Source organism: Homo sapiens, chromosome 19 (genome assembly GCF_000001405.40).
Source record: "Homo sapiens chromosome 19, GRCh38.p14 Primary Assembly".
NCBI lineage: Eukaryota > Metazoa > Chordata > Mammalia > Primates > Hominidae > Homo > Homo sapiens.
In genome coordinates, this window is record NC_000019.10 from 13,843,823 (window position 1) to 13,860,549 (window position 16,727).

The following is a 16,727-nucleotide window of genomic DNA, read 5'->3' on the forward strand; positions in this document are numbered from 1 at the left end:
CAGGAACAAAACTCTGAGATCGAGGGGCGGGGTGCCCTCTGCAACCATGCCAGTCTCCTTGGGCATGTCCCGCTGCCATCTGCCCTCTCCAGGACTCGACAAAGGCCGATGGACCCCTATCCACCACCCACGACCACCATCGTGTCACAGTGGGGGTCTGGAACCCGCAGGACCCTTCCCAGACCTGGGTGGGCATTGCTTTGGGGGATGATGTTTTCCACTCAGCCCCCAATATTTTTGAAGTGTCATCCTTGGGGCTAGGGATCCAATTCTTCATCCACGTCCTGGGTGGTAAGATAGCAGCCTCCCCTTTTGAGTAACTCTGGGGGTGGGGGCGCGGGGGTACCCAGCAGCAGGCCAGGCCCTCCAAGGGACTGGAGGGACTAGTTGGATGCTTCTGTGTCACCTTGCACCCCAGAATTCCTCCAGGGTCCCCCATTTCATCAGCTCAGCTGGCTCTCACCTTGCTACCTGGTGGAACTGGGGAGAGGGAGTTAGGAGCCACACCCAGCTACCATCCCGTGGGGCCCAGCCCTGGGGACTCCAGGGCCTTTTCTTCCCTGTGGGGCCCAAGGGGCAGGCTGGCCCAGGATGCAGGATCTGACAGGTTGGGGCAGGAGGGGGCAGAGCCGCCTAGTGGGGCCCCAGGGGAAGATTTGGGGTGGCACAGAATTCCCCAACTCAGGGTGGGGCGCAGAAGGTGGGAGCAACTTACCACATGGCCTTCTGAGCAGCTACACACAAGAATGGCATTTCCAGGGCGGGCCTGGGGTGGGGGTGGGGGTCTCCCTGTAAGGGACACACGCACACAGACAAACTTGTCATTGCAAAAGTAGAAAGTGACCAAATTACAATGACAAACAAAACTCGGATCTCTACCGCATCCCCATCCATATTGCCCCTCCAGAATTCCCTTCACCCCATAATAAGGCCTTCCATCCAGACATTGCCTGTCCCGTCATCAGTCCAATTCACATTCAGGGAGAACACCTCCTCCATGCTGGCCTCTGGGGATACCTCTTCCCCCAGATTTTTTTTTTATCTAATTTTCGCTGTTCTGTTGCCTGTGGCTTGGACCACACCCCGGCTCACTAGTATCCCTCAGCCCAGGCTTGGAGGGTCCTCCCAGAACCCCCACCTCTCCCTCTGGGTCCCTTGACATTTACTTCCACAGGCCCCGGTCCTGAGCCTGCCGGTTTACCCAGGGGACAGCAGGTGAGGGAGTGATGAAGGGACAGGGCGAAGGTGAGACCAGGTCAAGTGGTCAAATGGCATGGCACACACACACACACACACACACACACACACACACACCACACACCCTTTTGTTCATTCTACAAACATTGAGTGCCTGCTGTATGTATGTCAGGCTCTGTTCCGGGCATTTGGGGACACAGAAGAGAACAAAACAGAAAAAAAAATCCCTGTACTTTTGGGACCAGCATCTATGGGAGAAACAAACATGATAAGCAGATAGATAGGTATAAAGATATATAATGTGGCCAGGAGCGGTGGCTCATGCCTGTCTTCCCAGCACTTTGGGAGGCTGAGGCAGCCTGATCACTTGAGGTCGGGAGTTCGAGACAAGCCTGGCCAACATGGTGAAACCCCGTCTCTACTAAAAATACAACAATTAGCCGGGCATGGTGGCGCACGCCTGTACCCAGCTACTCGGGAGGCTGAGGCAGGAGAATCATTTGAACCAGGAGGCGGAGGTTGTAGTGAGCCAAGATTGCTCCACTGGACTCCAGCCTGAGCGACACAGGGAAACCCTGTCTCAAAAAAAAATTATATATCTATATATATTTTTAAAAATTACATATCTATATATTTAAAAATTATATATCTATATATATTTTAAAATTATGTGTCTATATGTTTAAAAATTATATATATATTGTTTTAAATTATATTATATATATATATATATATATATATAAAATGTGTTGGGTGGAAAGTCTATGGGTAATCTAGAAAAAGGCAAGAGAGATGAGAGATGAAATGAGTGGAGGTTAGGTCAGGAAAGTCCTCCCTGAGGAGGAGGTGACTTTGAACAAAGACTTTTAGGCACTGAGGGAAAAGCCAGGAAGACATCGAGAGGAAGAGAGTTCCAGGTAGAGAACGGCCAGTGCACAGGCTTTGCGGTAGGACGGTGCCTGGAACATTGGAAAACCAGCAAAGCAGACCGGTTTCATGGAGGCAGAGAGAGGAGTGGAATGGAAGAAGAACAAAGATTTGTTTTGTTTTGTTTTGTTTGAGAAGGAGTCTCACTCTGTCGCCCAGGCTGGAGTGCATTGTCACAATCTTGGCTCACTGAAACCTCTGCCTCCCCAGTTCAAGCGATTCTCCTGCCTCAGCCTCCCAAGTAGCTGGGATTACAGGCGTGCACCACCATGCTCGGCTAATTTTTCTATTTTTAGTAGAGACAGGGTTTCACCATATTGGCCAGGCTGATCTTGAACTCCTGACTTCAAGTGATCCGCCCGCCTCAGCCTCCCAAAGTGCTGGGATGACAGGTGTGAGCCACAGCGCCAGGCCCTACACCCCAGCTTTCTAGCTGGATGTCTTTGGGATGGCTTTGGGGCCAGGCGATTACACTTCCTAAGCCTCAGTTTTGTCGGCTGAAAAATGGGGCTGAAAATGCGCAATTTGCAGTTGTTACCAGGCTTTGAGGTGAGACGTGTGATGTGCTGATCGCAGGTAGAAAGAGGGTAAGTGATACACCAGGTACACCTGGATCAAGGGACCCTGACAGGCCCAGCCGGCCCACAGGTCACCCCAGCTCACATGCAGGGCTGCCTGCTGGGCCCCATGGCAACGCCACACACAGAGACATCAAACAGGCCCTGCCGAGGAAGTCCCACGTCACTGCGGTTAGAGTGGCTCCTCCCAGCCCAGCCCCCGGCTGGCGGCAGTGACCCCCATGCCAGTCAGGGCCCCTGCCTCCTGTTGCCCTGGCGACCAGCTGTGTTATGGACTGAGCCGGGATCCCACCACATCCCTGCCCCCTCACCAGGGCACCAGCCACTCCCCACATCCGGAGAAGGACATTACACGGTGGCCCCAGCTCACCGTGACAAACTCAATTGCCTGGTGTCTGGAGCACCAGGAAAGACTTTGTCTACCTACATAATGGTTCAGAAGGGCAGAGAGGTCCCAGGGATCTGTGGGGACTCCCAGCCAGGTGCCTGAAATCCCCGGGGAAGGGTCCCAGTATTGCTCAAGGGCACTGGTGGGGCAGGTCAGACAGGAATAGACCCCAGGCCTGGCCCAGCCCCCACCTCAGGAATGACTCACCACCCACCCAGCTCCCGATGACATCAAGGCCTGGCCTGCCACCCTGACCTGGCCCCAGGCCAGAACTGGGGGGGCGCACCCAAGAAGTGTCACATCTGGCTGTCCCTGCCTGGCTGGGATCTGGTACGCAGAGGGTTAAGGAGAGCCCTTCTGGGGGTCTCCCCCCCATCCCATCCCCCCCACTTTCCCGGGGATTTCGGGCCCCAGCCCCTCTGACGTCACTGGGGGTTGCTATGGCAACTGGCCGAAGTTCCCAAATAAAATTACCGCGGGCGGGTTAAGTTTCCTAGGAGGCAGCCGACGGGTAAACAATGGCGGTGGCAGGCGGGGCCGGCGAGAGGCCGTCTCCCCCTCTTACCCCCGACTCTGCTGGGACCTGGGGGTCCCTGGGGCGAGGGGCAGGGTCCCCCTCCCTGCCCAGGATCTGAGAGCCCTCGAGCCAGCGAGGGGATTGGCGCCCAGATGAGGGACAGCGAGGCCACGACCCACATGAGCGGGGGATGGGGACGAGGGGTCTTTGGAGGGGAGGCTGGGGCGGCGGGGAACAAAGAGGGGACCGGAGGCCTGGGGATCCACCCTCCACACACCCTCCCCCCTAACCCCGCTCCCGGCCGGCCGCCAGTCCAGCTGTGGCTGTTCCCAGCTCCCTGGCTCCCCACATCTGGCGGGCCGCGCGCTCACTTCCTGTCGCCCCGGCTGCCTGGAGGGAGGTAAAAATAACCCGCCCCCTCCCCCTGCCGGCGGCGCAGACGGCGGATCCTCCCAGCCTGGAGGAGGGCGAGGCCGAGCCTCAGCCGGGAGAGGAGGCCCCCTGAGGCCGCCTCCCGTCCCTCCCAGTGCCTCGCTGTCCTGGCAGGAGGGGGGCAAGTAGGGGTGCCACAGAGCCTAGGCTGCGCTGGGGGACTGGGGAAGCGCATCCCATGAGAAAGGCCCTTAGCTGGGTCACCAGGAACCCAGGGAACCATAGTGTCCAACCACCCCCACCAATCCCGTGGGGGAGGGGGTTCAAGTTCTGAGAGTTGAGGGACTGCAGCCAACATGCCTGGGTTCCAATCGAGGGTCACCCACTTCCTAACCTAACAGTATAAACAAGTTACCAAAAAAAAAAAAAAGCCCCCCCCCCGCACACACACGACAAGAGCAAAACTGCTCCAGGCCTCAGTTTACCTAGCTGTAAAATGGGCATGATAGCAGTACTCACTTCAAAGTGCATTTGTTGGGTTAGGAGTGTCAACTCACTCTATAATCCCAAAACTTTGGGAGGCTGTGGCAGGAGGATCGCTTGAACTTAGGAGTTTGAGACCAGCCTAGGCAACATAGTGAGACCCCCATCTCTACGAAAAAGTGAATAAGTAAAATGAAAACACATAAAAAAGAAAAATAAAGTGCATTTATTCCCTGAGTGTTAGCTATGATCGTTTCCCCCTCCCCAGGGGCCCCTGAGACCCACCCCCCTCCACCAAGTACAGTTCCCAGATGAGACACAGGACACCCAGTGAAACTTAATTTTTCAGATACACAGCGGATCTCTTTTTTTAGTATAAGTATGTCCCATGCAATTTTGGGGACATCGCTATACTAAAAAAAAAGTTTTATACTAAAAAAAAATTACTTGTTCTGTATCTGAAATTCAAATTTAACTGATGTCCTGTATTTTTTATTTGTTAAATCTGCCAACTGTATCCTTAAGTCACCATCATCTCTGGCCTAAATATATTCCAACAGCCACCTCCCTGGTCCTCTCCGACTTTCCTTATGCCTTCTAGCCATTCTCCAGAGACAGCCCGTTAAATCCAATCACGTGTCCCCTCTACCTTCCACTTGGAAAAGTTCCTGGTGTCCCAACCTCTCCCGCAGGAAGGTCCTGCCTGTTATTCGCCAACTCCCGAGCATCCTTCAGTTCCCAGGGTATCACCTCCTCCGAGAAGCCCTCCTCACCTTCTTGGCTTTAGACTGTCCAGGATCCCTGTAACTCAGCCATCTCCCCAACTCAACCATTTGAGTGATTGACTTGGTCATGTGAGCCAAATGGACATTTCTTACAGGACTCAAAGCTGGTCACTTCCCAGGCAGCTGGTCCATCTCCGTGTCTGAGATGCTAGTATCTACTCTTCTCCCCGCCCCATAGGATCTGGGGCTCCGGAAGGCCCCTCAGGCAGCTCCCTTAAGGGTCCTGTGGGCGGCTCAGTGGTGACTATTGGGGTGCCAGGGAGCCCGGAGTTCAGGCCATCTGAAGCTGGTGCTGGGAAACTCTCTCCCTGCACTCAGATGGCATGGGAAGTCTAGGGGGGTGCTGGTGCAACCTCTGTAGTGCACAGCCTTCAGTATCATGTGTCGACAGCCCCCAAGGAGCCCACCAGGCGCCATCCCCCACTTGCATAACCTACCCACACTTCAATGTAGCCTTGGCACCTATCCCCACAACGCCTGAAGACTCCCACAGATATGGCCCTGCCAAGGCCAGGCATGCACCCTCCTGAGACAGGTTTGGGAGCCCGGATGCCAGCTTGGCTGTGCATCCTCTGGCAAAGGACATTGACCCTCTGTTGACTCAGTTTCCCCATCTGTAAAATGAGAATGTCAATGAAACGTCAGAGGGCCATGGTGAACACTATTTTTAATTTTTATTATTATTATTTTTTGAGACGGAGTTTCACTCTTGTCACCCAGGCTGGAGTGCAGTGGCACGATCTTGGCCCACTGCAACCTCTGCCTCCCGGGTTCAAGCGATTCTCCTGCCTCGGTCTCCCAAGTAGCTGGGATTAGAGGTGCTGGCCATCACGCTCGGCTAATTTTTGTATTTTTAGTACAGACGGGGTTTCACCATTTTGCCCAGGCTGGTCTTGAACTCCTGACATCAAGTGATCCACGGGCTTCGGCTTCCTAAAGTGCTGGGATTATAGGCGTGAGCCGCCGCGCCCGACTTCATGGTGAACATTACATGAGTTAATACACATAGGCCCACACATGCATAGAACAGGCTTAGAACATAGAACGTGCTCATTAAGTGTTAGCTAGTTTGGGAGGTCGGCAGGGGTGGGGAGGATGCAAAAAAGCCCTCATCACAGCGCTCCTGACAGCTCCCGCCAGGCCAGCTCCCCAAATCCCTTAGGAAAATGGCCTCGACCTCTCAGCTGCAACTCTGGCCCAGCCGCCATCTCCTGACCTGACCGCCCACTTCTGGGGAGCCCCGGTGGGTCTGGATTGGAGAGAGCCACCCTCAGCCCTCCCCACCTTCATTGGACCACAGCTGTCTCCTTCACCATCACCTCCGTGCCCACCAGGATTACAGGCCTGATCTGAACCCCTAATCTAGGGAAGACTACGGAGTCCCAAAATCCCTCTTAGCGCGCACCCCGGCCTGAGGCTCGAACCCAGGTCCGCGCTGGAGGGCGGTGGCGGTTGCCGAGCAACGCGCTGTTTGTTGGCGCGGGGGGCGGGGCCGGGGCCGGCGCGCGGTGACTCACCGCGGCGTGATGCGGACGGGCGCGGCGCCCAGCAGCCTGGCCGGCGGCCCGATCTCGGCTGGCCTCGGCGTCCGGAGGGGCCCGGCGGCGGGGGCGCCTTAGCCCCCAAGTGGGCGCCGGAGGCCCGTGGGGAAGCGGCGGAGCAGGTCCCGGGCTCTCGGACTCGGTTCGAATCCCAGCCCTGCCTCTTACTCTTGACTCTTGATCTGTGACTTCAAGGCTCCTTGCCTCAGTTTACCCGTCAGTAAAAGAAGCGACACTGGAGGGTGCAGTAACCCACCACTGGCATTTAAAGCAGCTGAGATGATCACGCAGTGACACTGCGGGGCAGCAAGTTTGGGACACCCAGATTCTGCACGTGAATCTCCTGTGTTAAACTCTGCAACCTCACGGAGAATCAATTTCCGCATCTGTTACAGGGCAGTAGCAAGAACAAACACCCTGCCTCTCGGGTGGTTTGAGAATCCCGTGAATTCATAGTGAGACAATGCGTGGCACATTTCAGTACCATGTCTGCTGCCCCACGGAGGGACGGGATGTAGGAGGTTTTCTCTGTGGTCCGAGCTCAGGAGGGCAAGGAGGTGAGGGCAAGACTGGAACCCCTAGAAGTGGGTGGCAAGTCACAGGTCCAGGGCAGGGTGGCATGACCATGGCTGCAGAGGCCCCTATCCCGAAGCTGGCTCACAGCACCTGCTGCGGGCAGGCAGAAGGGGGGCCTGGGGGTGAGTCACCGCCCAGCAATGAGGCTTGAGTCACACAGGGCGGGGTCCCCCGTTAGCCCCCCCAGCTGCTCCCACAAAGGCCCTTTGAGAAGAGTTCCCCACCCCCTACTCCCACCCCCTAGGCCCTCTCTAGGGGTGGGCTGTGGGGCCGAGGCCCTGCTGGGCTGCCCCCAGGAGCCCGGCCTGGGTCTGGGAGGCGCCAGCCAGTTTCAGCCATGTCTGTGAAAAGTCACCATAGGAAGCTGGGTGTCCCCCGGGGAGGGGGCTTCCAGGCTGCCTGAGTCACTGGAATGGTGGAGGGTCACACGCGCAGGGCCCACGCACACAGCGGGCAAATTGAGTCAGACTGTCTGGTGGGGCGGGCAGGCCAGGACGCTTCGAGTCAGGCTGAGAAGGAAACCTGGGAAGAGACATGGTTCTTCCAAGCCTGTGGCCTCTGGCAGAGAAAGAGGGTGCTTGAGGGCACATATGGTGGGTTTCACCACACCTCCTGCCTAGGCCTCCCCTCCTTGCCTGCCCCGAAACAGTCTCCCCCACCTTTCTATCCTTCTTAAACTTGGAGTGAGAAGGACAGCAAGCTGGATGGGATTCCAGGGAGGCACTCTACTAGCGGAAGAATTGAGATTTTTTTTTTTAATTTTATTATTTATTTATTTATATTTATTTACTTTTTTTTTTGAGACTGAGTCTCACCCTGTCACCCAGGCTGGAGTGCAGTAGCACAATCTCGGCTCACTGCAACCTCTGCCTCCCAGGTTCAAGCGATTCTCCTGCTTCAGCCTCCCAAGTAGCTGGGACTACGAGCACACGCCACCATGCCCAACTAATTTTTGTAGTTTTAGTAGAGATGGGGTTTCACCATGTTGGCCAGGGCAGTCTCGAACTCCTGACCTCAGGTGATCCGCCTGCCTTGGCCTCCCAAAGTGCTGGGATTAAAGGCGTGAGCTACTGCGCCTGGCCAATTTGTATTTATTTATGTATTGAGACAGGGTCTCATTGTGTCGCCCAGGCTGGAGTGCAGTGGCACAATCACGTCTTACTGCAGCCTCGACCTCCTGAACTCAGCTGAGCCTCCCACCTCAGCCTCCCAAGTAGCTGGGACCACAGGTGAGAGCGACCACACCCAGCTAATTTTTGTATTTTTTTTTTTTTTTTTGTAGAGACAGGGTTATGCTGTGTTGCCCAGGCGGGTCTGGAATTCCTGACTCGAATTCCTGCCCTCAAGAGTTCCGCCCACCTTAGCCTCCTAAAGTGCTGGGATTACAGGCATGAGCCCCTGGGCCCTGACCTGTTTGTTTATTTTTTAGAGATAGGGGTGTCTCCATGTTGCCCTGGCTGGCCTCAAACTCCTGGGTTTAAGGGATCCTCCCGAGTAGCTGGGAATACAGGCAAATATGTCCACACCCAGCTTTAAGATAAAAAAAAATTATTATTATTTAATATTTATTTATTTATTGAGATGGAGTCTCTGTCACCCAGGCTGGAGTGCAGTGGCGCGATCTCGGCTCACTGCAGCCTCCACCTCCCAGGTTAAAGCGATTCTCCTGCCTCAGCCTCTGAAGTAGCTGAGACTACAGGCGTGTGCCACCATGCCTGGCTAATTTTTTGTATTTTTTAAGTAGAGACGGGGTTTCGCCATGTTAGCTAGGATGGTCTCGATCTCCTGACCTGGTGATCCACCTGCCTCGGCCTCCCAAAGTGCTGGGATTACAGGCGTGAGCCACCACGCCCAGCCCAGGATCAAAATTTTTTAAGACAAGGTCTCACCACTGCCATCTCAAGCTCCGGGGCTCAAAGGATCCTTCTACCTCAACCTCCAGAGTAGCTGGAACTACAGGTGAGCACCACCACACCTGGCTAATTTATTTATCTTGTGGGGGTCGGGGCGTGAGGGTCTTGCTGTGTTGCCTAGACTGGTCTCCAACTCCTGGCCTTAAGTGAGCCTCCTGCCTCAGCCTCCCAAGTAGCTAGGACTACAGGCATGTGCAAGCACACCCAGCTTATTTATACACATTTATTTTATTTTATTTTATTTTATTTTTTTTTAGAGACAGGGTCTTACTATGTTTCCCAGGCTGGTCTTGAATTCCTGGTCTCAACCAATCCTCCTCCTGCATTGGTCTCCCAAAGTGCTGGTATTACAGGCATGAGCCACCTCGGCTGACCACTTTGCTTTTTCTATTTGTTGACTGAGATGGCTATAAAGGGACTAACAGACTGGTAGCCTATACAGACAGCATGGATAAGCTGGGTAAAGGGATGATTCACATCCCAGGACTGTGGGAGATTTCATCACACTACTCAGAACGGCCTGGAATGTGAAGGTATGACTTGTTTTATTTCTGGAATTTTCTTTCTTTTTTTTTTTTCTGAGACCGAGTCTCGCTCTGTCACCCAGGCTGGAGTGCAGTGGTGTGATCTCTGCTCATTGCAACCTCTGCCTACCGTGTTCAGGCCATTCACCTGCCTCAGCCTCCCGAGTAGCTGGGATTACAGGCGCGTGCCACCACGCCCGGTTAATTTTTGTATTTTTAGTAGAGGCGGGGTTTCACCATGTTGGCCAGGCTGGTCTCGAACTCCTGACGTCAGGTGATCCGCCTGCCTCGGCCCCCCAAAATGCTGGGATTAAAGGCGTGAGCCACCTCGCCCAGCCTCTGGAATTTTCCATTTAATATTTTTGGACCAAAGTTGACCAAGGATAACTGAAACCGAGGAAATCGAAACTGCAGATAAGGGGGACGACTGTATACAGTCAAATGTGTTTAGAATATTCATAGACTTATGCAACCATCACCACAATAAATTTTAGAACATTCCTTTTTTTTTGGAGACAGAGTCTCACTCTGTCACCCAGGCAGGAGTGCAGTGGTGTGATCTCGGCTCACTGCAACCTCCGCCTCCCAGGTTCAAGCGATTCTCCTGCCTCAGCCTCCCAAGTAGCTGGGATTACAGGCGAGCACCACCACGCCCAGCTAATTTTTGTATTTTTAGTAGAGACAGGGTTTCACCATGTTGGCCAGACTGGTCTCGAACTCCTGACCTAGTAATCTGCCCGCCTTGGCCTCCGGAAGTGCTGGGATTACAGGCGTGAGCCACTGTGCCTGGTCCACACCAGCTAATTTTTTGTATTTTAGTAGAGATGAGGTTTCACCGTGTTGCCCAGCCTAGTCTCCAACTCCTGAGCTCAGGCAATCCGCCTGCATCAGCCTTCCAAAATTCTGGGATTAGAGGCAGGAGCCACTACGCCCGGCCTTTTTTTTCGCTGAGGCAGGATCTTACTGTGTAGCCCAGAGTGGAGTGCAGTGGCGGCATCCTGGCTCATTGCAACCACTGCCTCCCGGGCTCAAGCAATCCTCCCACCTCAGCCTTTGGAATAGCTGAGACTGCAGGCGCCCGCCACCACGCCCAGCTAATTTTTTTTTTTTTTTTTTTTTTTTTTTTGAGACGGAGTCTACCTCTGTCGCCCAGGCTGCAGTGCAGTGGCGCCATCTCTGCTCACTGCAAGCTCCGCCTCCCGGGTTCACGCCATTCTCCTGCCTCAGCCTTCCGAGTAGCTGGGACTACAGGCGCCCGTTACCACGCCTGGCTAATTTTTTGTATTTTTAGTGGAGACGGGGTTTCACCGTGTTAGCCAGGATGGTCTCAATCTCCTGACCTCGTGATCCGCAAGATTACAGGCGTGAGCCACCGCGCCTGGCCATTTTTTTTTTTTTTTTTTTTTAAAGACAGGGCGTTGCTATGTTGCTCAGGCTGTTCTCAAACACCTGGGCTCAAGCAGTCCTCCCACATCGGCCTTCCAAAGTGCTGGGATTACAGCATGAGTGACCACGCCCTGCCCAACTTTAGAACATTTCCATCACCCGCAAAAGAAATCTCAAGCCCATTAGAAATCATTTTCTGGCCGGGTGTGGTGGCTCACGCCTGTAACCCCAGCACTTTGGGAGGCCAAGGCAGGTGGATCACCTGAGGTCAGGAGTTCGAGACCAGCCTGGCCAACACGGTGAAACCCCGTCTCTACTAACAATACAAAAATTAGTCAGGTATGGTGGCACATGCCTGTAGTCCCAGCTATTCGGGAGGCTGAGTTGGGAGAATCACTTGAACCCGGGAGGCAGAGGTTGCAGTGAGCCGAGATCATGCCACTGCACTCCATCCTGGGTGACAGAGCGAGACTCTGTCTCAAAAAAAGAAAGGAAAGAAAGGAAGGAAAGGAAAGAAAAGGAAAAGAGAAGAGAAAAGAAATCACTTTCTATTTCACCCCCCAACATTCTCAGCCTCTGGCAACCCTGGTCTACTTTTTGTCTCTGAGTATAAATGCTGTCAACAGAGTTCATCCATGTTATAACAAGTGTAACAAGCGTGAGTACCTTATTCCTTTTTATTGCCAAATAATATGTGATACGGGCTGGGTGTGGTGGCCCATGCCTGTAATCCCAGTACTTTGGGAGGCTGAGGTGGGAGGATCACTTCACCTCAGGAGCTTGAGACCAGCCTGGGCAATGTAGTGAAACCCTATCCCTACAAAAATTACAAAAATTAGCTGGGCATGGTGGTCCTCGCCTGTAGTCCCAGCTACTCAGGACACTGGGGCAAGAGGATCACTTGAGCCCAGGAGGTCGAGGCTGCAATGGGCTAGGATTCTTTTACTGTACTCCAGCCTGGGCAACAGAGTGAGACTTTGTTTCTAAAATGACGAGACCTCGTTTCTAAAATAAAAATGAGGCTGGGCGGGGTGGCTCATGCCTGTGATCCCAACACTTTAGGAGGCTGAGGCAGGTGGATGACTTGAGCTCAGTAGTTCAAGACCAGCCGGGCCAACATGGTGAAACCTGTCTCTACTAAAAATACAAAAATTAGCCAGGCATGGTGGCGGGCACCTTTAATACCAGCTACTTGGGAGGCTGAGGCAGGAGAATCGCTTGAACGTGGGAGGCCCAGGTTGCAGTGAGCCGAGATTGCACCATTGCACTCCAGCCTGGGCAACAGAGCAAGACTTCGTCTCAAAAAAAAAAAAAAAAAAAAAAAAAGCTGGGCGTGGTGGCACGTGCCTGTAATCCCAGCTACTCCGGAGGCTGAGGCAGGAGAATCTCTTGAACCCGGGAGGCAGAGGTTGCAGTGAGCCGAGATCACGCCACTGCACTCCAGCCTGGGCGACACAGTGAGACTCTGTCTCAAAAATAAATAAATAAATAAATAAATATAAAATAAAAATGAAAATAAAATAGACCAAAGCTATGTCCCAGGAACAAAGTATTTGAGAAGCAGATGCTGTCTCACAAAGAAGACTGAGACAGAGAAGGGATGTCAGGAGGATCTAGTGTCCCAAGGCCAAGGAGGAACCAGGCAAAGGTGACAGATACTACACGGAGCTCAAGGACAGCTACAGCTGAGAACTTGGCCTGACTCTGAAGTCTGATATCAGTAGTGTGATCAGGCAGCCGCCTGATAAGTAAATGGGAGGGAAGGCAATAAAGGCAGTGTCTAAAGAAATATATTGTGAGCCACAAATGCAAGCCACATATGTAATGAAAACTTTTTTAGTAGCCACATTTTTTTAAAAAAGTAGCAGGTGAAATTAATTTTATTTTATTCACATTTATTTATTTATTTTTGAGACACAGTATCACTCTGTCACGCAGAATGGAGTGCAGTGGTAGGATCTCGGCTCACTGTAACCTCTGCCTCCCAGGTTCAAGTGATTCTCCTGCCTCAGCTTCCCAAGTAGTTGGGATTACAGGTGCGTGCCACCACACCCAGCCAATTTTATATTTTTAGTAGAGACGGGGTTTTGCCATGTTGGCCAGGCTGGTTTTGAACTCCTGACCACAAGTGATCCACCTGCCTCAGCCTCCCAAAGTGCTGGGATTGCGGGCATAAACTAGTGAGCCTGCCAAAATTAATTTTTTTTTTTTGAGACGGAGTCTTGCTCTGTTGCCCAGGCTGGAGCGCAGTGGCACGATCTTGGCTCACTGCAACCTCTGCCTCCCGGGTTTAAGTGATTCTCCTGCCTCAGCCTCCCAAGCAGTCAGGATTACAGGTGTATGTCACCATGCCCAGCCAATTTTATATTTTTAGTAGAGACGGGGTTTCGCCATGTTGGCCAGGCTGGTTTTGAACTCCTGACCTCAAGTGATCTGCCTGCCTCAGCCTCCTAAAGTGCTGGGATTACAGGCATGAGCCAGTGAGCCTGCCAGAATTATTTTTTTTTTTAATTTGAGACGGAGTCTTGTCCTGTTGCCCAGGCTGGAGTGCAGTGGCATGGTCTCAGCTCATTGCAACCTCCACTTCCTGGGTTCAAGTGATTTTCCTGCCTCAGCCTCCAAGTAGCTGGGATTGCAGGTGCCTGCCACCACACCTGGCTAATTTTTGTATTTTTAGTAGAGACGGAGTTTCACCATGTTGGCCAGGCTGGTCTTGAACTCCTGACCTCAGGTGATCCACCCGCCTCGGCCTCCCAAAGTGCTGGGATTACAGGTGTGAGTTACTACACTTGGCTACAAAATTAATTTTAATAAGATTTTATTTAACTGAGTATATCCAAAATAGTATCCTTTTAACATATAATCAAGGTAAATATTATGAATGAGATATTTCAGTTTTTTGGTACTGTCTTCAAAAATCTGATGTGGATTTTATACTTATAACATCTCAATTCAAACTGTTAGGTTGGTGCAAAGTAATTGTGGTTCTTGCCATCATTACTTTCTTTCTTTCTTTTCTTTTTTTTTTTTTTTGAGACGGAGTCTCACCCTGTCCCCCAGGCTGGAGTGCAGTGGTGCGATCTCAGCTAATGCAAGCTCCGCCTCCCAGGTTCACGCCATTCTCCTGCCTCAGCCTCCCGAGTAGCTGGGACTACAGGCACCCGCCACTACACCTGGCTATTTTTTTTGTATTTTTAGTAGAGACGGGGTTTCACCGTGTTAGGATGGTCTCGATCTCCTGACCTTGTGATCCACCCGCCTCAGCCTCCCAAAGTGCTGGGATTACAGGCATAAGCCACCGCGCCTGCTTTTTTTTTTTTTTTTTTTTTTTTTGAGGAAGAGTCTTGCTCTGTTGCCAGGCTGGAGTGCAGTGGCACAGTCTCGGTTCACTGCAACCTCTGCCTCCCGGGTTCAAGCGATTCTCCTGCCTCAGCCTCCCGAGTAGCTGGGATTACAGGCATGCACCACCACACCTGGCTAATTTTTGTGTTTTTAGTAGAGACGGGGTTGCACCATGATGGCCAGGCTGGTCTCAAACTCCTGACCTCAGGTATCCACCCTCCTCGGCCTCCCAAAGTGCTGGGATTACAGGCGTGAGCCACTGCACCCGGCTGCCATTACTTCGAAGAATAGCTGTATTTCAGGTGCTCAGTAGCCACGTGACCAGTAGTAACGTCATTGGAAAATGCAGTCCAGACAGGCCCGAGTCCTGCCCTTGTGTGACTCATGTCACTCACCTATCCCTAATCCCAGCTCTGTTGGATCCTATCTTTATTGAAAAAAACAATTTTTTTTTTCTAGACAGGGTGGAATGCAGTGGTGTGATCATGGCTCACTGCAGCCTCCACCTCTGGAGCTCAACCAGTCCTCTCACTTCTGCCTCTGAATAGCTGGGACCACAAGCGTACACCACCACGCCCAGCTAATTTTTAAAATTTTTGTAGAGGCCGGGTGCGGTGGCTCATACCTATAATCCCAGCACTTCGGGAGGCCAAGGCGAGCGGATCACTTGAGGTCAAGAGTTTGAGACCAGCCTAGCCAACATGGCAAAACCCCATTTCTACTAAAAATACAAAAATTAGCTGAGCATGGTGGCGGGCGCCTGTAATCCCAGCTACTCTGGAGGCTGAGGCACGAGAATCGCTTAAACCTGGGAGAGATGATTGCAATAAGCCGAGATCATGCCACTGCACTCCAGCCTGGGCAACAGAGTGAGACTCCGTCTCAAAAAACAAAACAAAATAAAATAAAATAATAAAACCCTTGATTGGGCATGGTGGCTCATGCTTGTAATCCCAAGACTTTGGGAGGCTGAGGAGGGTGGATCATTTGAGCCCAGTAGTTTGAGACCAGCCTGAGCAACATAGTGAGACACTGTCACTACAAAAAAATTTAAAAATTAGCCAGGTGTGGTGGTGTGTGCCAGTAGTCCCAGCTAGTTGGGAGGCTGGGGCAGGAGAATTGCCGAAACCCAGGTTGAGGCCTCAATGGGCTAGGAGTGTGCTACTGAACTCCAGCCTGGGCAACACAGCAAGATCCCGTTTCTAAAAAACAAATCAAACAAACAAAAATCCCTAAGCCTTCTCATCATACTTAAATCCAAACTCCTTACTGATCAAGGACCTATAAGACGTCACCTCCTCAAAAGCCTTCCCAGATTGCACTTTCATCTTCCAGGCTGGGCCTTGACTCTCAGCACTGAAAACTCTTCATTGTAATTGGCTAGCTACATGACTAGCCCCCTGCCAGATGGTGGCAGGCAAGCTCCTAGTCTGTTTTGTCCCTCCCCCACTTCCCATCATCTCACCCCACATGCATGCCAGGAACATAGTGATTATTAATGCATTAATTCACTAGATATTGACTAAGGGCCTTTTTTAAGTTCTCCAGCAGTGATGAAGACAAACGTTGTAGGCTGGGCACGGTGGCTCATACCTGTCATCCCAGCACTTTGGGAGACTGAGGCAGGAGGATCGCTTGAGCCCAGGAGTTCGAGACTGCCCTGGGCAACAAAGTGAGACCCACCCCCATCTCTCCAAAAAAAAAAAAAAAAAAAAAAAAGACAACAGCTATTGTGCTGGCAGAGCTGACAATCAAGTACAGGAGACAGACAAGAAACAAGATGTGTAGTAAAACATGTAGTGTGTTGAAAGGTGACAGGGCCAGGCGCGGTGGCTCACGCCTGTAATCCCAGCACTTTGGGAGGCCGAGGCAGGCGGATCACGAGGTCAAGAGTTTGAGACCAGCCTGGCCAACATAGTGAAACCCCGTCTCTACTAAAAATACAAAAAATTAGCCGGGCATGGTGGTGGCACCTGTAATCCCAGCGACTTGGGAGGCTGAGGCAGGAGAATGGCTTGAACCCGGGAGCGGAGGTTGCAGTGAGCCGAGATCGCGCCATTGCACTTCAGCCTGGGCGACAGCGAGACTCCATCTCAAAAAAAAAAAAAAAAAAAAAAAAAGGTGACAGGGTTGTGAGAAATAAATAGAGGAGAAAGCAAGGTGGGTGCAATTTTGAAATAGGGGAGTCGGCCGGGCTC

General features: G+C 52.3%; 5 annotated features.

The window, feature by feature from the left end:
• Nucleotides 3,169-3,348: an enhancer, noted in NCBI's record as "active region_14144". NCBI's record gives its function as "activates an Ori minimal core promoter by ATAC-STARR-seq in GM12878 lymphoblastoid cells {active_cell/tissue: GM12878}" and the evidence as "EXISTENCE:reporter gene assay evidence [ECO:0000049][PMID:35858748]".
• Nucleotides 3,929-4,198: a silencer, noted in NCBI's record as "silent region_10215". NCBI's record gives its function as "represses an Ori minimal core promoter by ATAC-STARR-seq in GM12878 lymphoblastoid cells {active_cell/tissue: GM12878}" and the evidence as "EXISTENCE:reporter gene assay evidence [ECO:0000049][PMID:35858748]".
• Nucleotides 3,929-4,224: a biological region, named in NCBI's record as "ReSE screen-validated silencer GRCh37_chr19:13958655-13958860".
• Nucleotides 4,019-4,224: a silencer, noted in NCBI's record as "fragment chr19:13958655-13958860 (GRCh37/hg19 assembly coordinates)". NCBI's record gives its function as "represses an EF-1alpha promoter that drives an FKBP-Casp9 reporter gene in an ReSE screen in K562 erythroleukemia cells {active_cell/tissue: K562}" and the evidence as "EXISTENCE:reporter gene assay evidence [ECO:0000049][PMID:32094911]".
• Nucleotides 9,875-10,820: an enhancer, noted in NCBI's record as "H3K27ac-H3K4me1 hESC enhancer chr19:13964511-13965456 (GRCh37/hg19 assembly coordinates)". NCBI's record gives its function as "activates a minimal SCP1, AML or CMV promoter by ChIP-STARR-seq in primed H9 embryonic stem cells {active_cell/tissue: H9 hESC(primed)}" and the evidence as "EXISTENCE:reporter gene assay evidence [ECO:0000049][PMID:30033119]".